Raw genomic sequence first — 25,874 nt, 5'->3', positions numbered from 1 at the left:
AGAAACTTAGTCAACACATCCCTTGTTCATGTACAACCATAGTTTCCCACTTAACTTTAGAATGTGTGCCAGGTTTTAAAATGCATAGGATTCTTATTGTACCCAAACTTTTGGATGAATTGACAAATGAAATTATAAATCAATGTCTCTCCCAAATCAGAATTCAAAGTACAAGTTAGACTTAGAGTCCTGAGGCAAGATTTCCGCTCCTCGTTTTCCCACACACTCCGGACTTTTGTTTTCTTATCTATGAAGCAAATGAATCTTACTAGACAATTACTATTTTAAATGTATGGTTTTTTTTTTCAATCAGAAGTAAAACGTGGAAGCCACGGGAAACTGTTAGTAATGGAAGCGAAGCCAAACAGAATGCCACTCGTTAGCCATGACCATAAACAATATTTGGGTTCTTTTCCCATTCTTATGCTTATTTCTGCAGTCATTATGTCACTTTATAGAGAATGCTGTGACCTGCTTTCCCACTCAAGCGTTTTTCCATGGCAACAGAAAATCTTTAATGACTCTTCTAAGCTCTATGATTTCAAGTATGTTTGGTTTCCCACGGTCAATATACAGAGACTATCAAAACTCATGATGAACAATATTTTATTTTTTAACAAATAAACAATTTAAGATAAAGCTTTCAGTGAAAACGAAATAGAACAACTGTGCAAGTAAATAATTATAGACTTAGAAAAAATATTACAATCCTTTATTGACATTTGTTGTTCTTTTATTAGATTATTGTCCAAGGAAAAGTCCAGCATGGTGAATTGAAGGACTTATTTTGCCATTTTTCTCTCCCCTAGGAGTAGCATACGGTCTGTAAGGCCAGAAATTAGCTTTCATGACATATTATTGGAGGTGAACAAATATAAAGATTTAAAAATCTAAAAGATCCTCAGAATGAATGGTTTTGAGTATGTTTTTACCACCTGGTAAATTAATGAAATGACATTGGTGCCATGTGGAAAGGAATGAAGATGACTGCCTTCGAAGATGAATTATGACAGGCTTTACATGCCAATAAAACAGTATCGAGAGCTCAATAAAGCAATGTTGAAAGTTTTGACATTGGCCAAATATGGAATGAGCACCAAGTATAAGGCATTGGCCTTTAGCAAGTGGCATCTCAGGAAGCCCAAGACACTATTGTTATCTGCAGGAACACACAGTAGGATAGGACTGGTGAGGATGACACTTAGATTCAAGTGGCTATAAAGTGAGGTGCAAAGGGCCAAGGGTTATAGCAGATGGGTACCTGAGGCGGGACAGCAATTTCCTTCTTCTGTTGACCTGGAGCAATATTTAATGGGTCATGCCATCTAAGAAAGGAGTCCTTTCTCTGAAGACTGTCACATATCAGCACAGAATGCACAGTAGGCTTTTTCATTCCATTTAGTAGAGACCTGGAGTGAAATTCAAATGTAACTCAAAAGGTGCATTCCCTTTACTAAATGGGGAGAATATTCTCAAAGTTGATTTTGTAAAAAAAAAGAAATAATAATAATAACACACACACATGCACACAAAAGGAAGTGGAATCACACCTGCTAGGGGACACAGTATCAGTGGTTCTAATATTGCAATGGGAAACCCTTTCAAAGCTTCCAGGACTAAGTCCCAGAGAAGCAATTAGAAGGCCCTTCACATGAAAGAGCTCAGAAGCATTTACAGGGACGTGTCCAAGAGAAGGGCTTTATTTCTAGATTATTAACATGAAAATTTGCTTTCCTCTTTAATTAAGCCACTCTATCTTTGGAAACATAAGTGATTTCATTGCCTTCCTGGCAACTTTTGACTCTAAATGGCCTGGGAAACCAACATGGGCATCTAAGTAGTACCAATATCAGAATGAAAGGCAAGCAAATCTATAACGGTCAACTGGATCATTCTAAATATCTAGATGTTTGATAAAAATTGTTTAGTTTGGTATATGACAAATGAGGTAGATCTAAGAAAAAGAAGGGGAAAAGAAAAAATCCACTAAAAAATTAGTTTGGTGTCATCATCACTACCATCAACAAGGTAGCATACCTTGATTCCACAGGTAGAGGTCAAGTTCCCTTTTCTTATACTCACATTTATCCCTCTATATTTCAATTATCTGTTCACTTCTGTGTCTCCTTACTGGGTCTAATTTTGGAAGGAGAGACACCAAATCCCTCTTGCTCACAATGTTTCCACACTTCCTTGCCTGGAGTGTTAGTGCACACTCAATAAATATTAGGTGAATAAATGAACACCAGGGCAATTTGGGGATGAGCCATTACCAATTGGGGTGTGCTGTGGTGTAGGCAGTGGCAAGAAAGCTCTGCCAAGGATCAGCCAGTCCTTCAGAGGTTTGCCTAAGTAGGTGGCACCATGGCTTCAGCTACAGAAGTGTCCAAGGATGTATTCCTAATGTCAGTTGAGGATGATCAGGAATGGGGCTGGAAGCCAACTTAATATCCTGATGCCATTTCTGTATCCAAATGAGGACCTTTAAGGCCATCCGGTATGGCACCCACATGTTACAGATGTAGAAGCTGTGGCGCATAAGGGAACAGCAGTTTTCCCCAAAGCACACGCTAGCAGAGCAGACTTTCATACCCATGTCCCCTGATATCCTGTTCCACACTCTCCTTGACAACCCACTCAACAGGCCAGGGTTTCAATGGCAGCTCCATGAAGGAAGTATCTATACAGCCTTGGCAGGCCACTTCCTCCTTTTTAAACCCCATTTTCCCTATTGGGTAAGTTGGCCTTATAACACGTGACCCCCAGGGATGTTAGCGTTAGAGGAAACAGTCCATGCAAAGTGCCCAGCAGAGGGCCAGGAACTGATTCCCAAACCTTAACTCCTTTCCCCTCCTCTCAGGCACGTGAAGCCACTGGAGATGAGCAAGCTGAACAGAGCATCTTCAGTTGTTGTCAAGGGCCAGCTGACGGGAGGGGCCAGGTCCTCAGATCATTTCATCCCTCAGGAGGCGAGTTTGGAGCTCGACCCTGCATCGACATGGTCTTGCTCTGAAGAGACTCTCCTCTGCTCCTTCCTAACATCCCCCAAGGAAATGCAGCCTTCAAAACCCAGGCTTTCCAATTTACTTAGTAAAATGAATGAAAGAACCTTTTGGGGAATAAAGTGATTTCTTTTTAGCTGCACGTGTTTACTTTTCCATAAACTCCCAAGATGGCTTACATGTTAGCTGTTAATCACACCATCTGTTCAAACAGTACTTCAGTAAATGATTCGATTCATACTTTTCTTCTAAAAAAATCTTTTTAAGGACAGTGTTTATGTCTCTGCTATTCTTCATTTGGCAATGTAGCATGAGCTATTTTAACTTTGCCGTTATTGTAAACAAATATTGAATTTCCCATTTCTTAAGTGTACAGAATATAGGACCACTTCCCTGCATTTATTTCAGTTCACTGTAAGCTTTGAGGGAAGCAGGGCTACCAGACAGAGATATTATATTTTCTAAAAGAAAAAAAAAAACGAAGACAAGAAATTCCAGATAATATTTCCTCTGATATCTTGAATTTAGCTACAATGAGTAGGTTCTAGCTACATGAGAGTATTCAGGCCAAGCAAAGGTGGACAGGGTGTCCTCAGTAGTTGGGAATGGTCAGTTATGTTGAGGGGCCTGGCTGCTCAAACTCATTTTATATCTTCAGAGACAAAGTCACTGGTTTAGAGGGACGTCCAGAAAGAACAGCCTGGGTCCTGCTAGAAAGTCTAGGCACAAAGCTTGGGTGATACCAGGCATGAAGAGGAGGCAAAGGGGCTGCTGGGGTTTTGGGGATGTAGAACATCCCTGAAGTTAGTAGAATGAAAAGAGCATGAGCATAAAGGTTGAATTCTTTTTGATGGTAGCAGGTCTGTTGACTTCTGAAGGCGCTACATCTATGCAAACATGTGGAGAAATTCACACAGCAGCATGGATATACCCTAGTGCTGTTCCAGATGGATGCCGCTCTCACTTGCTTTCCAAGATGTTTAGCTGCATGAAATATTACATTGTACAGCCATGTACAAAGTATAAGGGATGTACAAAGGAGGCACATATAAACTTGTGCAGGGGGACATTGATAAAGGAGGGACTTACTCTTTAGGCCCAGAGATAAAAGATGGTCGAAGGAGGCTCATATTAGAAACATTCTTGCTGGGTTTCCTGGGTTGGATTAACTAGTTGAGAACCACATGCATTTTACAGACACCACATCAATCCTGTGCTCAGAATTGGAAATGAAGGAGATGTTAATGGGAATGTTAATAAGTTTGTATTGCTGAATCAGCAAGAGTCAGAAAAGCCATATAGGCTGGGTCCAGATCTTGGAAGGTCTTAAATGTCACATTGAAGAGTTGAACTTTTTGCCTTCATGACTGGACATCATGAAGAACTTTTAAACAAGGGAGTGACATGCTCTGACATGTCTCATAAAAGTGGGTGGCACCGTAATGTGAAGCCTGTGTTAGACTGTGTTGCTAAGGATACCAGATCTCAAGTCACTGCAGTGGTCAGAGCAAGAAATGATGAGGGCCAGAGTTAAGGGAGAGGCAGTGGGATGAGAGTCTAGGGATGGATGAGATTTATCACAGAAATAGGATAGGCAAAGCCTGGAGGATGATTGGAAGTTGCAGTAAGGGAACAAGAGGATTAGGGGATGTCTTCAAGGTGGATGGTGGCTCCATTTGATGCAATAAACAGGAGGAAGAGGAGATTTTAGGATGAAGATGAAGCTTTCTGTTTCAGAATATCTCAATCTATGTTTTCTATGAACATTTCAGATAGATACATGTACTTTTTACACAAACACATGTAATTGGAACTGAGAAGAGATGTCTGAGCTGTAGATAGAACTTTGGTTGTCATTACTCTAAATAAGATTTGACAGTTTCATGAGTTTGAACTCGGCATGTCCAACGTCTTCTCTTTTGATTGTCTTAGAGCAGCATGTCTCACTCATGCCATGGGACTTCCTCTCCCCTCATGGTTTGGAGTGAGAATTAAATCAACTGTAAAGCAATCATCACCAAGTATACAAAATAATAACAATAAATTGGTATGTAGGCAGCAAAAGAATCAACAGTAGGAGCAGGGTTTAAAATTCTATTCATACTGATGTCCCTTACATATGTAGGGAGGTGTTATTACTCAGATATGTCGGGTGTTGAAACACTGTGGGGCATGGCTTAGTCACCTTCAATGGGACATGGAAACATAACAGGTAAGATATATCAGTTAGAATCAAGTTCAGCTGTAAGGGACAGAAAACCTAGTATAATTGTGGCTTAAACAAGATGGATGATTTTTGTACATCACTTAACTGAAGATGAGAAGTGTAGAACAGCTATGATAATTCTCTGATATTCACAGACTCACATTATTTCCAGTTAACTATTCTGCCCTTATTCTCATAGAACAAGAAGGATGGTAGAGTTCCAGATATGTTTTCTATGAACATTTCAGATAGATACATGTCCTTTTTGCATTTGCATTCTAGGCATCAGGATAGAGAAAGGGGAAAATAAGGGGTGGTGGTGGGGGGACTGATTTGCTTCTATTTAAGACATTCTAGAAATTTCTCATAATATTTTGACTTATATTTTAATACTAATTTAGTCACTGAACACACCTAGCCTCAAGAGAGGCTGAAAATTGTATTCTTTTAGCTAGATATGTTACCACCTGAATAAAATTCAGTGATTTGTTACCAAAGAAGATCGAGAAAATGGATAATGGGGTAGATAACAAGCAATCTCTGCCACAGGACATAATCTCAATATGGGCCATTTGGTGTAAAGAAGAGCTGAAAAGAAGAATCGTCTTGAAGATCCTTGGGCTGACTTCCAATCTGGCAAGCAGAACATGATATTTTAAGGGAGGTTTTCTAATGCAAACCCTGGACATCAGAGGGACCAAATAAGTATGAGTTGGCAAGGAAAGCTTCACAGGCACTTACAGAAAAGTAAAGAAAAATGCAGGAATGAGTAAACTTTAGAAAGTAAACTCTCTTTGGAGAAACGTCTGTTCAAATCTCTCAGACATTTAAAAAATCCAGTTATTTTGTTTTTTTAGCTATTGCGTTGTAGAAGTTCCTTATATATTTTGGAAATTAAACCCTTATCAGATATATGGTTTGTAAATACTTCTTCCATACCGTAGGTTGCCTTTCATTCTGTTCATTCTGTTGCCTTTCGTTTCTTCCCAGTAAAGAAGCTTTTTAGTTTGATGTAGTTCCACTTGTCTATTTTTGCCTTTGTTGTCTCTGCTTTTGGTGTCATATCTAAGAAACTATAGACAAGACCAACGTCAAGAAGCGTTTTCCCTATGTTTTCTTCTAACTATTTTAGAGTTAAAATATCTTACACTTAAGTCCTTAATCCATTTTGAGCTAATTTTTGTGTATGGTATAAGATAAGAGACCAATTTTATTTTTTGAATGGGATAGCCACTTTTCCCAACACCATTTTTTGAAAAGACACAAATTTTCCCTATTGCATATACTTAGTACTCTTTTCAAAGATTAGTTGTCCTTATATGTGTGTATTTATTTCCAGGCTCTCCATTCTGTTTCATTGGTCTATATGCCTATTTTTGTGCCAGTACCTGACTGACAGTATATGAAAAGATGCTTAACATTGCTAATCATCAGGAAAAAGCAAATCAACATCACAATATCATCTCACATCTGTTAGAATGGCTATTAGAAAGGAAAACAAAAGATAGTAAGTGTTGGTGAGGATATGAATAAAAGTGAACCCTTGCACACTGTTGGTAGGAATGTAAAATGGTGCAGCTATTATGGAAAGCAGTATAGAAGTTCCTCAAGAAATTAAAAATAGAACTACTGTATTTATGATCCAGGAATTCCACTTCTGGGTATATATTTAAAAGAACTGATAACAGGATTGCAAAGAGATATCTACATTCTCATATCTATTGCAGTATTATTCACAACAGCCGAGATATGGAAACAGCCCAAATGTCCATCAACAGATAAATAGATAAAGAAAATGTAGAATATTGGCGAACAATGAGAACACATGGACACAGGGAGGGGAACATCACACCCCAGGGCCTGTCAGGGAATAGGGGGAAAGGGGAGGGAGAGGATTAGGACAAATACCTAATGCATGTGGGGCCTAAAACCTAGATGACGGGTTCATAGGTGCAGCAAACTACCGTGGCATGTATAACCATGTATACCTATGTTACAAACCTGCACGTTCAGCACATATATCCCAGAACTTAAAGTAAAATTATTTTAAAAAAGAAAATGTAATAAAGTATCATATTTTCTTTATATGTAGTATAATATTTTATTGCATTTTCTTTATATATACTACAGACAAAAAAAGTTATATATGTGTGTATACATATTGTGTGTGTATATATATGTGTATGTGTGTGTGTGTGTATATATATATATATATATATACACACACAGTGGAACACTATTTAGCCTTAAAAATGAAGGAAATTCTACCATTTCAAACAACATATATGAACCTGGAAGACATGATGCTAAGTGAAGCGAGTCAGTCACAGAAGGACAAATACTGCAAGATTTCTCTTATATAAGGCATCTAAAATAGTCAAACAGGTAAAAGTAGACAATAGAATGGTGGTTACCAGGCAAGGGGGAGAGGGAACAGAGGGAAGTTTCTGTTTTTTTGTTTGTTTGTTTTTGTTTTTTTGAGACAAGGTCTTGCTCTCTTGCCCAGGCTGGAGTGCAGTGGCACGATCTCAGCTCACTGCAACGTCTACCTCCCAGGTTCAAGTGATTCTCATGCCTCAGCCTCCTAAGTAGCTGGGATTACAGTCATGTGCCACCATGCCTGGCTAATTTTTGTATTTTAATAGAGACGGGGTTTTGCCATGTTGGCCAGGCTGGTCTTGAACCCTGACCTCAAGTGATTCTCTCTCCTCAGCCTCCCAAAGCACTGAGATTGCAGTTGTAAGCCACCGTGTCCAGCCTGAGAGCTATTTTTTCATGGGCGTAAAGTTTCAGTTATACAGAATAAGTTCCAGAGATCTGCTGTATAATATAGTGCCTATAATTAACAATAAGGTATTGTGCACTTGATATTTTGTGAATAGGGGAGATCTCATGTGAAATGTTCTTAACAAAAACAAGCAAGTAACAACAAAAAGGGAACAGAAGGAAACTTTTGGAGGTAAAGATATGTTTATTGCCTTGATTGTAGTGATGATAACATGAATATATGTATATGTATATGTTTATGTGTATATATATCTATATACATATATATAGATATTAACTCAGTCAGTTGTATACACTCATTATGTGCAGTTTTTGTTTACCAATTATATTTCAATAAAGCTGGAAGAGGCCGGGCATGGTGGCTCACGCCTGTAATCCCAGCACTTTGGGAGACCTAGGCGGGCAGACACGAGGTCAGGAGATTGAGACCTTCTTGGCTAACACGGTGAAACCTCGTCTCTACTAAAAATACAAAAAATTAGCCTGGCATGGTGGCGGGCACCTGTAGTCCCAGCTACTCGGGAGGCTGAGGCAGGAGAATGGCGTGAACCCGGGAGGTGGAGCTTGCAGTGAGCCAAGATCGCTCCACTGCACTCCAGTCTGGGCAACAGAGCGAGACTCCGTCTCAAAAAATAAATAAATAAATAAATAAAGCTGGAAGAAAGAATGTTAATTTTGTATTCCATAACTTTACTGAATTTATTAATTTTGGGGTGGAATCTTTAGAGTTTTCAATATATAAGATTATGTTATTTGCAAACATAGACAGTTTCACTCCCTTTTTTAAAATGATAGAGATGCTTGTACAACTTTATTTTTATTTTTATTTATTTATTTAAAAATATTTTTAGAGACAGGGTCTCTCTCTGTCACCCTGGCTACGGTGCCAATTTTACTTCTTCATTTCTGGTTTGGATGGCTTTTATTCCTTTTATTTTGCCAAGTTGATCTGTCTAGGACTTCCAGTTCTATGTTTAATAGATGGGGTAAGAATGGGCATCCTTGTTTTGCTTCTGTTCTTAGAAGAAAAGCTTTTAGCTTTTCACCATTCAGTATGTTAGCTGCAGGCTTGCCATAGATGGCTCTTATTATGTTTAGGTACATTCCTTTTATACTCACTTTGTTAAGAGTTTTATTATTTTTTTTATCATGAAAGGATATTGAATTTTGTTAACATGCAACAATCAACTGTGTTTCTATACACTAACAACAAACTATCCAAAAATGATCCCACTTACAATAGCATCAAGAACAATAAAATACTTAGGAATAAATGTAACCATGGAGGTGAAGATGAAAACTAAAAAAAAAAATAGATTAAAGAAATTGTAGGAGACCCAAAATAAATGGAAAGCTATTCTGTGTTCATAGATTGAAAAATTAATATTCTTATCAAGATTCCAATAGAATTTTTCATAGAGATATAAAAATGCTGGCCAGGCATGGTGGCTCACGCCTGTAATCCCAGCACTTTGGGAGGTCGAGGTGGGTGGATCATGAAGTCAGGAATTCGAGATCAGCCTGGCCAACATGGTGAAACCCCATCTCTACTAAAAATACAAAAATTAGCCAGGCGCAGTGGCGGGCGCCTATAATCCCAGTTACTCAGGAGGCTTAGACAGGTGAATCACTTGAACCCAGGAAGTGGAGTTTGCAGTGAGCCGAGATCATGCCACTGCACTCTAGCCTGGGCGACAGAGCGAGACTCCATCTCCAAAAAAAAAAAAAAAAAAAAAAAAGTGCTAAAATTTATGTAACCCCAAAAGTCCCCAAATAGCTATTTCCCAACTTCAAACTGTATGACAAGGCTATAGTAACCAAAACAGAATGGTGCTGGGGGAAAAACTGACACATAGACCAATGGAACAGAATAGAGAACCCAGAAATAAAGCCATACATCCACAACCACCTGAACTTTGACAAACCTGACAAAAATAAGCAATGGGGCAATGATTCCCTATTCAATAAATGGTGCTGGGATAACTGGTTATCCATATGCAGAAGAATGAACCTGGGCCCCTATCTAGTACCACAAGCAAAAATTAACTTGAGATGGATTGATAACTTAAATGTAAACCTCAAACTATAAGAATCCTAGAAAAAAATCTGGGAAATAACATTCTGGACATCAGCCTTAGGAAATAATTTATGACTAAGTCCTTAAAAGCAATTGCAACTGGAACAAAAACAAAAATTGATAAGTGGGACCTAATTAAACTAAAGAGTTTGTGTACAGCAAGAAAAACTATCAAAGGAATAAACAGACAACATATAGAATAAAAGAAAATATTTACAAATTAGGTATCTGACAAAGGTCTAATATCCAGAATCTATAGGAAACCTAAATCAATGAACAAAAAACAAATAACCCCATTAAAAAGTGTGTAAAGGATGTGAATAGGTACTTCTCAAAAGAAGAAATATAAGTCGCTATCAAATGTATGAAAAAATGCTCATCATCACTGATCATCAGAGAAATTCACATCAAAACCACAGTGAGATAGCAACTCACACCAGTTAGAATGGTTACTATTTAAAAGCAAAAAAAATAACAGATGCTGGCGAGGCTTTGGAGAAAAGGGGACACTTATACACTGTTAGTGGGAATATAAATTAGTTCAGCCACTATGGACAGCAGTTTGGTGATTTATCAAAGAACTAAGTGGTGAAATATCATTTATCAAAGAACTAAGTGGTGAACTATCATTTGACCAAGCAATCCCAGCACGAGTACCCAGTAATGGTACTGGGTATATACCTTGATAAGGTTTGGTCCTGTGACCCCATCCAAATCTTATCTCGAATTGAAATCCCCACATGTCAAGGAAGGGACTTAGTGGGAGGTGATTGGATCATGGAGGCAGTCTCCATGTGTTCTTATGATAGTGAGGGAGTTCTCATGAGATCTGATGGTTTATAAGTGGCAGCTTCCCCTGCACACTATCTCTATTCTGCCATCTTGTGAAGAAGGTGCTTGCTTCTCCTTTACCTTCCACCATGATTGTAAGTTTCCTGAGGCTTCCCTAGCTATGCAGAACTGTGAGTCAATTACAACTCTTTTCTTTATAAATTACCCAGTCTCAGGTAGTTCCTTATAGCAGTGTGAAAACAGACTAATACATACCCAAAGGACAATAAATTGTTCTATCAAAAGGACATATGTACCTGTATGCTTCTCGCAGCACTATTCACAATAGCAAAGACAAAGAATCAACCCAGGTATTCATCAATGGTAGGCTGGATAAAGAAAAACACAATGGAATACTATGCAGCCATAAAAAAACATGAAATCATGCTCTTTGCAGCAATATAGATGCAGCTGGAGGCCATTATCTTAAGTGAATTGACACAGAAACAAAAAACCAGATACTGCATGTTCTCACTTGTAAGTGGGAACTAAACATTGGATACACATGGACATAAAGATGGGAACATTAGACACTGGGGGCTATTAGAGGTGGGAGAGAAGAATGCGGGCAAGGGCTGAAAAAAGTACCTATTGGGTACTATGCTCACTATCTGGGTGATGGGTTCAGTCAAACCCCAAACCTCAGCATCATGCAATATACCTTTATAACGAATCTGCACATGTACTCCCAAATCCAAAACAAAAGTTGTAAAAGAAAAAATTTTGTTGATTAACAAAATGAAGAGGCATGCTACAGAATGGAAGAAAATATTAGTAAGACATATATCTGAAAGGGGTTAATATTCAAACTATATAAGGAACTCATACAACTCAATAGCAAGGAAACAACCCAATTTAAAAATGGACAAAAGATCTGAGTAGAAAGTTTTCCAAAGAAGATATACAAATGGACAAGAGGTATATGAAAAGGTGCTCAAGATTACTAATTATCAAAGAAATACAATTCAAAATCACAATGAGATATCACCTGACACCTGCTAGGATAGCTATTACCAAAAAGCCAAAAGATAGCAAGTATTGGCAAGGATATGGAGAAAAGGAAACACTTGTACAAAGTTAGTGAGACTGTAAAGTGGCACAGCCATTATGGAAAATAGTATGGAGATTCCTTTAAAAATTCAAAATAGAACTACTATATTATCCAGCAATTCCACTACTTAGTATATATCCAAAGGAAATAAAATCATTATCTGAAGAATTATCTGCATTCCCAAGCATATTGCAGCCCTATTCACAGTAATCAATATATAGAAACAACCTAAGTGTCCATCAAGAGACGAATGGAAAAAGAAAATGTGGTGTTTGTGTGTATATGTATATATACACACTATATATATATATATATGTATACACATACACACACAGATATGTATCTATACATATGTGTGTATATATATACATACATGTATATATATATCTTTACACAATGGAGTATTATTCAGCCTTCAAAAAGGAGGAAATCTTGCCATTTGTGACAATATAGATGAGCTTGAAGGATATTATGCTAAGTGAACTAAGCCAGACACAGAAAGGCAAATACTGCATGATCTCACTTATATGCGCCATCTTGAAAATAGTTGAAGTGATAGAAATGGAGAGTAGAATGGTGGTTACCAGGAGCTAAGGGGTGGGTAAGAGGGGCGTTGTTGGTCAAAGGGTATAAATCTTCAGTTGTGAAATGAGTAATTTTGGGGGATCTAATGTACATCATGGTAACTATAGTCAATAACACTGTATTGTATACTTAAAGTTTGCCACGGGAGTAGATCTCAAGTGCTCTCACCACAAAAAAAGTAGCCATATAAGGTGATGGATATGTTAATTAGCTTGATGTGGTAACCATTTCACAGTATACACATATATCAAAACATCACTTTGTACACCCTAATATATATATTTTTATTTGTCAATTATACCTCAATAAACCTGGGTGGGAAAAGACATACAAAAAAAGAAAATCCTACTTCCTTAAGCATAAAAAGAAAGTAAACTATCTTAACTCAGGGTGTTATAAAAAATATCCTAGAATGATTGTCTTAAAAGACAGAAATTTAATTCCTGCTGTGCTGGAAGCTGGAAGTTCAAGATATAAGTGCCAGTATGATTGCATGCTGGTGAAGGCCTTATTCCTGGTTGTGTCTTCACTTGGCCTTCCTTGGTGGATGCACACATACAGAGGGAAATCTTATGTCTCTTTCTCTTTGTATAAGGTCATTAATCCCATAAGGGAGCCCTCACCCACATGACCTCATCTAAACCTAATTACCTTCCAAGCCTCCACCTCCAAATACCATCCCACTGGAGATTTGGGCTTTAACATGAATTTGGCAGGGATGCAATCTCTTCTTAGCATTCCACTCCAGCAAATGAATCAAGTTGTGTCCAGCAGGGAGGTCCAGCAGCTGGTAGAAGGGCCCCCATCACATTTTCCCATTTCAGGGATAGGATGCTAATCCATGGGTGGTGGTGATGGTGAAGGACATTGAGTGACAATAGCATAGTGAGGTCTGATTCCTTGAGGGAGTGGGATACTAAGCAGGTGTCTAAGGCAGAGACACTGGTTCAGGACTGGGACACAAGGTCAGAGGGGAACAGCAATGAGACAGACTGGTTGTTGAATTCCAGAGAAGGGACCTTAAAGCAGTGGTTCCAACATTTTGGATTTTACGTATGTGTACCTATTTTTTTAAGTGAGTTTGTCAGCTGACATAGTTTGGCTGTGTTCCCACCCAAATTTCATCTTGAATTGTAGCTCCCATAATTTCCATGTGTTGTGGGAGGGACCCAGTGGGAGGCAATTGAATCATGGGGGTGGGTTTCTCCCATGCTGTTCTCATGATTGTGAATAAGTCTCATGAGATCTAGTGGTTTTATGAAGGGGAGTTCCCCTGCACATGGTCTCTTTGCCTGCCACCATGTAAGACATGCCTTTGCTCCTCCTTTGTCTTTCACCATGATTGTGAGGTCTCCCCAGCCATATGGAATTTTGAATCAATTAAACCTCTTTCCTTTATAAATTACCCAGTCTTGGGTATATCTTTATTAGCAACATGAGAGTAGACTAATACACCAACTTTTCATTTTGCTATGTAAATATATACAGAATTAAAAATGAAATAACAAAATATCTACAATGTATTAACCCTATTATTTCTTTTAAAATACTATTTTAAGGCAAAAATTAGGCAACAAATTAGAAGGAAAGAACAATTCCTAATCAAAATTCAAAATGTACAAAACCATAAAGAATAGTTAGAAGAGAGGACTTGAAATATTCCCAACACATAGTAATGATAAATATTCAAGGTGATGGATATCCTAAATACCTTGACTTGACCATTACACATTCTATGCATGTCCAAAATATCACATGTACTCCATAAATATCTACGAATATTATGTATCAATAAAAACAAAAAAGAATTGACAATTAAAAGGCTCCCTCTTACCCTGCCCCTTCAACACCCAGTTTCCCTTTCTGCAGGCAGCCACTGTTATTTGTTCCTTGGGCATTCTTCCAAAGATATTCTATGTATAAATAAGTAAATAAGTCTGTCTGTGTGGAGGAGTGTATGTATGTGTGTAGCATTCCGTTCACATTTTTTCCAAAAAGGTTATCTTGAAAAGCGTTTCATGTCAGTGCATGAAGAGCTTTTTAAATCTTTTTACAGCTGTATAGTAGTTTGTTGTACGGATATATCAAATTTATTTAAACAGTCACTTATTAATAGGCATTTCCATTATTTCCAACCTTTTGATACTGCAAATAGTGTTTCATTGAATTACCTTAGAATACTCTTTGTGATTGAATTAAACTATGAACAGTTCATTACTTTACCTTCATTTCTTTTCATTTCAACATGAACTAGTAAAAATTTTACCAGCACCAGCTTATATAGTTGTCTTTGCAAAACTCTTTTCTACAGTTCTCCACATCCTGGAAGTCATTCAGGCTTATAAAATGGGCTATTTATTTCTGGCTGCCAGGTACCTCCTTGATAAAAACGTGATACCATCCAAAAAGGTGGTTCTACCTCAGTATGTAGGGCCTGAGTTTCTGTTTCCAACTTGCTTTTTTTCATACTGCTTTTCCCCTCTGTTGAAATATTTTTCCATATGTTTTTTCATTTGTAACCAGCCATCCCCATGACATATAGATATTTGATATGTCTTGACATGGGCTCATTAAAGATGTCAGATAGAAGCAATAAAAGGAAAAGACTTAGAATACCTAGACATTTGGGTGGATCTGGCACAAGGACAAAAGACCATCTTCAGGTGCTGGAAATGTATTAGGTATCTGTTTGCACATCTCAGCTTTACCTATGTGCTAATTCAATGGTCATTATGGCAATTGGCTGTGTGAGTTTCAACATACTTTGTGTAAGTGTACCCCGATAATACCTCACCTTATGCCCTAATTGTATGCCTCTCAGCTCCTGGGATGGGTTTGCTGGCGAGCTTAACTGTAGGAGCACACTTAATGCTGATACAATGCCTATAATGTACAACCTGGAATCATGAATCACTGGATCTCTTTGACTAGTACAGGAGAGCAAGTGAGTTTGAAAATTACTTGGAGCTCACATGTAAAATGTTGACTACATTGTGGCCACAGAATTGGATTGGTGCGACCAGGATGGGCCCAAACTCCTGCCACCATCCAGATGCAAACATTGCTATTGATAATGAATGGGTAACACAAGGGTTTTGAGATGGCAACAAACCTGTCATAGGCCATAACAGCAATAAGAAAACACTCGGCTGGGCATGGTGGCTCACACCTGTAATCCCAACACTTTGGGAGGCTAAGGCAGGCGGATCATGAGGTCAGGAGTTCAAGACCAGCCTGACCAATATGGTGAAACCCCGTCTCTACTAAAAATACAAAAATTAGCTGGTCATGGTGGCGGGCACCTGTAATCCCAGCTACTCGGGAGGCTGAGGCAGGCGAACTGTTTGAACCCAGGAGGTGGAGGTTGCAGGGAGCCAAGATTGTGCCATTGCACTCCAGCCTAAGTGACAGAGTGAGATTCCGACTCAAAAAACAAAACAAAACAGAACAAAAAAAAAACACACTCCGTCACCCCTAAGTAAAGAAAGATAGTCATTTAGAATAAGCAGCCACTATAGGATACACTTGGAAAGTCCTTCTAGCAGTTCACCAGAACCGTGGGTGTGGAGCAGATATCTAAGAAGGATACTTGTATGAGAAAGAAGTACATGGGGGTTTGAAGATGGGAATCAATCTGGATAATAACAATGATGAGAATATTACCAACCAGGGTGACAGAGTAGATGAACAATATTGCCTAAAAGAAGAGTAGCTGAGATGCAGGCTGTCTGGACAGTCCTACCAGAATAAATTCCATCATATTTGTATCATTTTCTTCATCTGAGGAAATCATCATCCTTTCTATAAAGATAAAAGGAAAGGTATGACAAATGTGATGTAATCCTAAGATGGGACTGGAGAAAGTTCAGGGCTGAATGATAAGGGGGAACTTCACCAGGGCAGGAAAGGAAGACATGTTTTATGCTAGTCTAACTGTATTCCTTTGAATCTTCTCATAGTTGTGGTTAGGGAAAACTTTATTGTCAAAGAGACCTTGTTTTTAGCTCCTCCTCTTACTCATAATAGTCATACTTGAAAAGGTAGGACCATACCCTCCTACAGACTCTTTGTATTAAAAGGGGCATTTTAAAATCGAGATTTGTTTGCGTGACTATACCTGATTCCATATCGATAATAAGAGATTCAGGTGAGGTAGAGCTCTTCAAAGAAATTTCCACACCTGCCAAGGCATTTACTTGGCCCAGAATGATGTTATAAGCTGTTAGATACAAGGGCAAGTAACTCAAATTCTAAACAGAACATTTCCCTTGTCTTTGCCTAGGTAACAAAATCAAAATTATTTTGCTTCCAGTTGTACTTCAGGTCTTGAGCATCTGCTGTTTTTAGAGAACAGTTTCTTTGGCACAAGAAGGTAAGAGATACAGCAGAAACCAAAGATCTAGTCATAAAACTCAAGGAACTTAGAAAGGGATGTGACCAGGAAGAGGAGTCAGGGATGTGCCAAGGGCAGCTCTGTGCCATCTAAGGGTCTTGCTTTTTGTGGAATCACATGCAATCCTTGCCAAGCATAACTATACTACCATGTAACTGAATTATTATTCAAAGAACCAGTGTGAATCATAGGAATGAGTAATGAGTAAGGACATTTTAGTTTTGGATTAACCATTTGCTTGCTATGTGGCCCAAGGGAGCAGCAGTTTCGTAATCTATAGAATAAGGAAAACTACGTGCCTTTCTTACTTCATAGAATTGTGAAATTCCAACAAGATAATGGTCGGGGAAATGCTGTGAAAATTATAAAGATATGCAAACACAAGACTGTTGTTTCTGGAAGAAGGAATACAACTAAGATTTCACCGAAGTCAAGCTTGTTGCCTCTCTTTAAGGTGTAAGGGAGCCTAGGAATTCAGTAGTTGCATTTTTACACCTTTCCTTACTCTCCAAAGCTGGGAAAAACATTCAGTCAGAGAAGTGCTTTATAAACAGTGTTTTTAAGCATTGGAACTGATTTCCCACCATCTCTGTATTCTTGACAATAAGCCCTCATAAGAGCATTGCAATAGCCTATTCAAGCTAAGGATTCAGTGTTGGACAGAAATACAAAGGAAAGTTTAAGAGGGTGCATGGCTGAGTGATGTCCGCCAAGCTCCTTTATTTTCTTAATTGAGCCATATGGATTTATCATTCTAGAAGTTATCTAAATTAGGTATAAGAAGCTTTTTACTACTGAGCATAACTGACCCAACTCCCACATATAAGTCAGTGGACATATATAAGTAAAAAAAAGTTAAAAACTTAATTGTTTTGTTTGTGAAGAAAAGAATATGATGATTTTAAAATACTCAATCTAACTCTTTCCTTGTAAACTTAAAAATTCTTCTTTTTTCAAAACAAGAAGGCTAGCACTTCTTTATATGACTCACTGCACACACACACACACATACACAGAATAGTTGAAAATACACTTTAACGTAAGTTGTTTGCAATGTTACAAATTTAGTGTTCTTCATAAAAGTATATCTATATATCTATATCTAAATTATGTATATTTTTAGAAGGCCCATTTATTCAACCACTTGATGAAACTGAGGCTATTAATAAGAAAATTAATATTTTCTTTATAGTTGAGGGTCATCTCTGAGACAATGGAAAGGTGAGGATAAGGAATGGGCAAAGAGAAAAGAGAGCATGAATATCAAGTACAAGGTACAAAAGAGAGTAACATTTCTGGTGTGGTATAGGGAGCGTAGAATTAGGACTGAGAAAAAGTTAAAGGGAGGCAGAGTTCAGCTGAGTAGGAGACAAGTTTTCTGTCTAGATAGCTAGATTTATCTGACAATTACGGGATAGGCAGTTCCATGAATTAGTGAGCTAACTCCTTCAGTGATACAACATTTAATTTCAGTCTGATCAGCAGTAAAATAGAGGGGTCTCCTGTATTGGACCACAGGCTGAACTAGGCCCACTCTGTTCAGCTGTAAGAGTTATCATGCCATCATAGGGAAAAAGAGGCAAAGAGACACAGGGGCATAGAGAAGGCAGGACAGAGAAGAGGCAGATCTAGAAGAAGAGAACCAGGATAATATGGAGGAAGCAGAGTAAGCAAAGAGATGGAAAGAGAGAGAAAAAACCATGCTTATCCAACGGAAGGTAGGACATTGCTTAAGGAATTTTCTCTCTTTACCAAATTTCTAAAAATGATTACCCTCATTAATTAACTCCATTTACACACTCCCTGTTAACTTCTCAATCCCTTGCTTGTTTCTGTCACACAACTGAACTTATTAGAAAGTAACCCAATGTACTACTAATGACCAAATCCAATGTTCTTTTTCAGTCTTTGATTCATTTCATCTAACACTACTTACTACCTTCACTTCTTGAATATTTTTCTTCTTTTGTCTTCTAAGATTCATTTTCGCTTTATGTACTTCTCACCTCTGCTTATTCTTTTACTGTAAATTGTATACTTTACTGTAAAATCACCAAGGTTCAGTGACTTTTGCTACTGCACTCTCTCTTCAGTATGGCTCTTCTACGCCATCCCCATGAAAGAGTCACTTGTCAGTTCCCTCTTTCTTCTAACTTCTAAATGTATGTATTTCTAAGTTTTCAGTGGCATTCAAGATAAGCTAGCTTACTCTATAGCAACAAACAGCCCCTAAACTTTGAGGGGCTTGAAACAACAAAGGTTTAATTCTTGCTCATGCTACATAGTAATGACATTTGTCTCCGCTCATTGAAGTGACCCAAGGACCCAGACTGAATAGGGGATTCTTCTTGACACCTGCTTTAATGATTGCTGAAGCAGGATAAAAGAAGCACAGTGAATTCTGTATGGCTTCTTCAAGCTTTTGCCTGGATGTGAATAAGTCACTTTTACTGACATTTAGTTGGCAAAAGCAATCACATGGCAATGTTGTTATGTACCTGGAAGGAGGTGAGAACTGGAGTACCTGTAACAGGCTCTAATGACCACCATGTATTTCTTACTAATTTCTGTAACTTTACTCTTTCCATAGATGGTCATATCTGACCTCTCATATATAATTAAACTTATATCTGAGTCTAATTCTTATACTCATGTCTCCCAAAGCTTATAACTAGAGGTCAGACATCTTCTTTAGCTCATGAATCACGTGTTTATTTGGCTTCCCAACCCCAGATTGTTGGAAACTAAATTAAAATAAACTTGTCACCATTCCATTTAAAACTATCATTGCTACTTCCCTATTCCTGCTAATGGCACCTCAATTTTCCCAATAAACCAGGTTGGAAAACATTGTCATCATCCCTCCTTTCTACAATTTCCCATATTAGTCAGTAAGGTTCAGTGATTTTTGCCACTGCACTGTCTCTTCGCTATGGCTCCTCTGCTCCATTCCCATTGTAGATTTCCTTGTCAAAGTCTTCTGTGTGTCTTTTGCAAGGATTTTCAAAATAGGCTCCAAACTAGTTTTTTACCCCTTTCATCTGCCCTGGACATTTTTGCCAGAGTAATCTTATGTTTTCATTATACTACTCCCCTATCCAAAACCTCTGTTTCATTGTCAACTGCCTGTAAAAACAAGTCATGACTTCTTAGCCTGACATTTGGTACTCTTCATGTCCTGTCTTCAACCTAATTTCCTATGGGTTGTCTTCACTGATCCTTGGTTTTCCCTTCATTTTTTTTACTCCCTATGATGCATATGCCCAATGTCCCATGCATATTTAGGGTGACCAATCATCCCTGTTTGCACAGGACTAAGAAGTTTTCCAGGATACAGCACTTTCAGTGCTAAAACCTGGGAAATCCCTGGCAAGCTAGGATGCATTGTTCTCCCTACATATTCCATTCCCACCATTCCTCAAACATGCCACGTTTTATGACTTTTCTCAAATCCCTCTGACAAGAATGACTACCTACCTTTATTCTATTAAAATTCTAGCCATTCTTTGTCTTTGCTTAATCTCCTCAAGATGCCCTTCTCCCGAGTCAGAATTAATATCTTTCACCAATGTTCTTTCACAGTATTTTGTTTTTCTTTTCCCCTCTGTTAGAGCACATGCCACTTTCATCATTAAATTGTAGTTAATTCCATATAAAAAGTACATATTTATCTGCCTCTCTAGACTGTTAGTTCTTTGAGGGCAGGAACCCTGTATCATTTATCTCCTTATATGGCACAATGTTCCGTTCATAGGAGGCACTAATAAATACTTGTTTGATGGAAATTATGACGCAAAGAGAAGGATCAGGGCAATAAAGGAAAGAAACATGAGCACAGAGCGGGTACAGAGGGAGGCAGAGAGCGGAGATAAAAAGATCACATGCGTGTCCAGTTCTTTTTTCCTGCAGTGATTCCAGATCTTTTCTTTTCCCATTGGTACCTCACCCAGACATTTTTCCTAATAACTATTCAAAATAACCCCTAATCTACTTCCATAACTGGTTTTCATCAAATGCTCACTGATGACTTATTCCTGTTTGCTGTTTACTTGTGCTGGCAACACCAGTTATTTACTTTCTATTTCCAGCCAGCCAGCATTACACAACTGTCTATTCCCTGTTTTCAGAGGCTCTTAACTGCATATATCTTCTATCTTGTCAGTTTTCATCTACCCATGGTAAACATCCCCTGCCCACACCCTCTCTAACTCTGAAACTTTAACCGGTATTAACAGGAAAGTTTGGGTTCCATCACTTCTATCACTGTTGTCAGTTCCAACCCACTTACAACTTATTTCTGGGACATATGATAATACAATATTACACTTGCAGAGTGAAATCCTGGAGTAAAAACATTTAAGGATAGAAAATTGGGTTCTGCATTTTAATAGCTGGAACACTCTGTGTATGCTGGTCTTAATTTGGGGAATTAAGTGTGAGACATAAAGGAACTTGAACTGAGAGAGAGTTGGTTTTAGATACTTGTCGTGGCCTTGATCTATCACGTAGGTCATAGTTCCCTTCTATTGAGCTAAGCTCTTCTTCTCTTTGAGTAAATTAAATTGGACAAATGGATATTAAGCACCTGCAATGTGCATGACATGACATTGTGCTATCTGCTATGTTCTTACAACACTCTGAGCGTACTTTTATTGGATATTAGAACACTCTTTATTAAATTGCAGCTATTGGTTTAGAGATCTGTTTTGCCACCAGACTGAGTCAGAGACTGTGTTTTTTCATGTGTATCCAGTACTCAGTACAGTATTAAGAACAGTAAGGGTGCACAATAAATGTTGGAAAGAGAAATGTATAGATACTTGAAAGGAAACAGAGATAAAGACATACTTCCTGCCCTAGAAGAGGCCACCATCTAACAAGCAGAAGGGGACATGAGCTCTGAAGACAAATAACTTTTTTTTTTTTGGGATGGAGTCTCGCTCTGTCACCCAGGCTGGAGTGCAGTGGCGCCATCTCCGCTCACTGCAAGCTCCGCCCCCCGGGTTCATACCATTCTCCTGCCTCAGCCTCCCGAGTAGCTGGGACTACAGGTGCCCGCCACTACTCCCGGCTAATTTTTTTTGTATTTTTAGTAGAGACGGGATTTCACAGTGCTCGCCAGGATGGTCTCGATCTTCTGACCTCGTGATCCGCCCGCCTCGGCCTCCCAAAGTGCTGGGATTACAGGCGTGAGCCACCGCCCCCGGCCTGAAGACAAATAACTTTAAACAAGCCAGACAAATAATTCTTGTCACTCTCTGTTATGGAACCCAGTGAACAATAGAGATGCATTTTGACCAGGGGATCTTTAGTCTATTTAAATTGGAACTCAGTGGAACTTTTGGGGCTAGCTTATTTTATTTAGTTAGTTATTTATTTTTAGAGACAGGGTGTCACTCTGTTGCCCAGGCAGGAGTACAGTGGCACAATCAGAGCTCACTGCAGCCTGGAGCTCCTGGGCTCAAGAGATCTTCCCACCTCAGCCTCTCAAGTAGCTGATATTATAAATGCACGTCACCATGCCCAGCTGCTGCTTACTTATTAATGGTTATTGCAGGTTTATCTTTAGTTCTTAATTTCCTGTTTTCTTTCAAGAAAGGCTTTTATTTTGTCTTTGAATTTCATGATTTGATGACCAGGTTTATGTTTCTGCTAACCAACAGTTTTTTTTCTCACCATGGAATACAGGGCTAATATTAAAAATAAAAGTAGATTTGTTGCTATTGGTGGGAGAGGAAGGGGTTAAATAAGAAGGAAGAAGCATGGTAACTAAATTTTCTGAATCTGACACTGATATGAGTATTCTGACAAGTATGAGTCAACTTTTAGAAACAACACGATGGAATATTAGACAGAGTTTTCCCAGATATTTGAGTTATGAAGAACAATGTGGTGTTTAAAAGTGTGGGCTCTGCAGACAGACCTGGGTTTGAATCTTGGCCCTGCCACTTCCATGTGGACTTGGTCAAAACGTCTAACATTTCAGAGCTTTAGTTTTCTTATCTACAAAATAATTTCTGATTCAGATTGATATTATGAATATTAAATGAGTTTATGTATAAAGCATCATCTCTGGTATACAGTAAGCACTCAAGTTTATTTCTACTCTATTATTATTCCAGGAGCCTAAATGTGCTGTTCAAGTGATGCAGACATTGACTAGAAGTTGGACAAGATGACCTTTTAGGTTATTCCGGGCCTAATACTCAGAGTTTATAATTCTTTGGCTAGGGGAAAAAATAAACTTTACTCACCGATGCCTCTGCTGATCAGATAACCCCAAAGCCCAGACACACTGCATACTTCTCCGACAGCAATAACTCAGCTGGCAGTTCCCAGGCAGAGATGTGGGAGAAAGTCCAATATCCGGGCAGTGCTAGGATCTACAACTTCCTGTGGTCTGACTAGTGAAATTTGACCAGATAAGAACAGTTAATAAGAAGCTCTCCAGATAGAAAAGTTCCTTTTATCTCTGAATGTGAATATATTGATGTTAAATACCTGAATGGATGAGGTTAATTTGAATAGTCTTCTATTATTGCAACAAATATGGAAAAGTGTTCAGGAAAACTTGAAAAATTCTTCTTCACAAATGTCACACAAACTGAAAGAAGTATCTTCTTATTCTGAGAAAACAGTGGCTCCACTGCCTACTTGAGAACGGAAGCATTAGCTTTTAAGAGCTGGACCCAGAGGTACCTCAGTGTATTGCCTAAGAAGAAATAAAGTCTCATATCCTGGACCTGCTTTTTGTAACACTTTGTAAGGCATGCCACATTCCCATCAAGGCTTTATCTTGAGGTCCCCAAATATTTCCAACTGGAGTCAGTCACTTGAATAAGAAAGCAAACATTGCAATGAAAACATTTAATGGCTATAAATTCAATTGTGAAGGAGTTCTTGTCTTTTTGAATGCTCAGGGGATGGAGTCCCTGGGCAATAACTTATTATTTCTCTTGCCTGCTCTACAATGATTACAGAGACTATTCAGGTAAATATTTTCATAACTAGATTGTCCTTGTGATTCTCTACTTTTTCTTTCCTTGAAACAATTTCGTAAGTGTGATCATGTGCCACCTTTTTTCCTCTGTCATGGTCAATAAAATGTCAAGGGCTGTATTCATGGCTCAAACTTTTTTTTGTAGGCAAACCCAAGCTATGGGCATGATAAAGATTTAGCAAGAAAGCAGCATAGCTTACTGTTTGAGTGAGAGTGCCGCTGTCAGGCAATCAGTTGAAATCTCAGCTCTGACACTTGCTAATTGTGTGACTTCTAACTTCTCTGTATCTCAGTTTTTTCATCTGGCAGTGGATATGATTGTAGTAATGCTTATGTAATAAGGTTATTGTGGGAGGATCAAACAAAACAACACACAGCAGTGCTTGATTAAAGTGTTTAACAAATGGTAGCTGCTATTATTAAGAAGCAGATTTTTTCAGCAAGTTCACAAGCAGGGAGGATGTAGCTGAAGTGATAATTGTGTTTGCAAGCACTTTATGAAGTTTGAAGTAATACTGAGAATATACCATCAATCATTCTGTAGAGTTTGCATATTTTAGGATTTGAGGTATTTGTTGGGGGCTGCAGCTGTATTCCCTTAATTCCCTTAGGACCCCTTCAACTTCTTGGACTACAGCTATATCAGGGGATGCTTGGACAGTAGCAATTTAGAACACCAAAACCCTTGGTAATTAAAGCAAAGCGAGTGAAAAATAGCTTTTAGTTATGTTACAACACGACAGGCTAAGCACTGGGGTACAATATCTTGTGCCTGTCTTACTGTTTTGGTTCTCCAGCAAAAGCTTGACAGTTCCCTATTTGGCCTTTCCTTCAAATGTTATAAACCCAATGCGGTGGTTGAAATGCATTTATAATTCTTGCCATTGGGAATATGGCCTGGATAAGTTGGAGAGCAAAGTCGAAGTGTTCCATGAAGAACTCACATTCTATTCGTAGTTGAAAATATATCTGAGATCTGCATCTGAAGAAAGAAGAAGAGAAACAGATACAGTGAGTTGGTCTTTCATACATTTGATACTGAACTTGAAGTGCTAAGAGTATGGAATTGTTCATTTTTATTGTTGGAGTATCAGTTATCTAGTATAAAGGTGTTTGTTGAGACAGTGGAATCTAGATCTGAAGGCACCTGCATGGATTTAAAATACAACTGTGAGGAATCCATTTTGCCTCCTTGAGATTATGTTTTCTGTCTTTTTAATATTGAAGTGAAATTTACATATAGTGAAATATACATATCTTAAGTGTAAAATATATGAATTTCCAAAAATGTATATAACTATATAACCACAACCTCAGTAAAGATATAGAACATGACTACAATTCTGAAAAGTTATCTTGTGTTTTCTCCCGGTCAATCTCTACACCCATCAACAACCACTGTTCTGTTTGCTATTCCCCCAGATTAGTTTTGCCAGTTCTTGCACTTCTTATGCATGGAAGCATACACTATGCATTTTTGTGTCTATCTTTTTTTTTTTACTTAACATAACATTTTTGAGATTTATCTGTGTCATTGTATATATTCGTTATTTATTGTTTCTTATTACTGAGTAACATTTCATTGTATGAATATGCCACACTTGGTTATTTTTGATTTGGGGCTATGTTGAATATTGTTGCTATGAACATTTACGTGCAAGTCATTTTGTGGACAAATGTTTTTAGTTCCTAGTGGGGAATATCTAGGAAACTAGCTGCTGGGTCAGAGAGTAGGCATAGGCTTAATTTTTAAGAAGTTTTCAAATGTTTTCTGAAGAGGTTTGTACAATTTTACATGCCCACCTGTGACATAGGAAAGTCGAGCTCCATTTGCTCCATGTCCTTGCCAATATTTGGTGTTGTTGGTATTTTTTATTTCAGTATTCTGGTGAGTATATGGTAGAATATAATTTTAAAAACTATTTTGAAATAACTTTAGATT

General features: G+C 38.2%; 1 long non-coding RNA gene and 1 pseudogene across 1 annotated transcript; both read right to left on the bottom strand.

Annotated features, from left to right (window-relative positions):
• Window positions 1-589: 589 nt before the first annotated feature.
• On the bottom strand, window positions 590-24,914 carry LOC124905218 (uncharacterized). The gene is made up of 2 exons (XR_007068336.1): window positions 23,187-24,914; window positions 590-1,409 (listed from the first exon to the last, which is right to left on the bottom strand). It is a non-coding gene; the product is annotated as an uncharacterized LOC124905218 (long non-coding RNA).
• OR7L1P (olfactory receptor family 7 subfamily L member 1 pseudogene) lies at window positions 15,249-16,331 on the bottom strand (annotated as a pseudogene).
• Window positions 24,915-25,874: the final 960 nt, after the last annotated feature.

This window comes from Homo sapiens, chromosome X (assembly GCF_000001405.40).
Source record: "Homo sapiens chromosome X, GRCh38.p14 Primary Assembly".
Lineage (NCBI taxonomy): Eukaryota > Metazoa > Chordata > Mammalia > Primates > Hominidae > Homo > Homo sapiens.
Note: the sequence above shows the minus strand (reverse complement) of the source record. Positions and strands in the feature narration are given on the sequence as shown.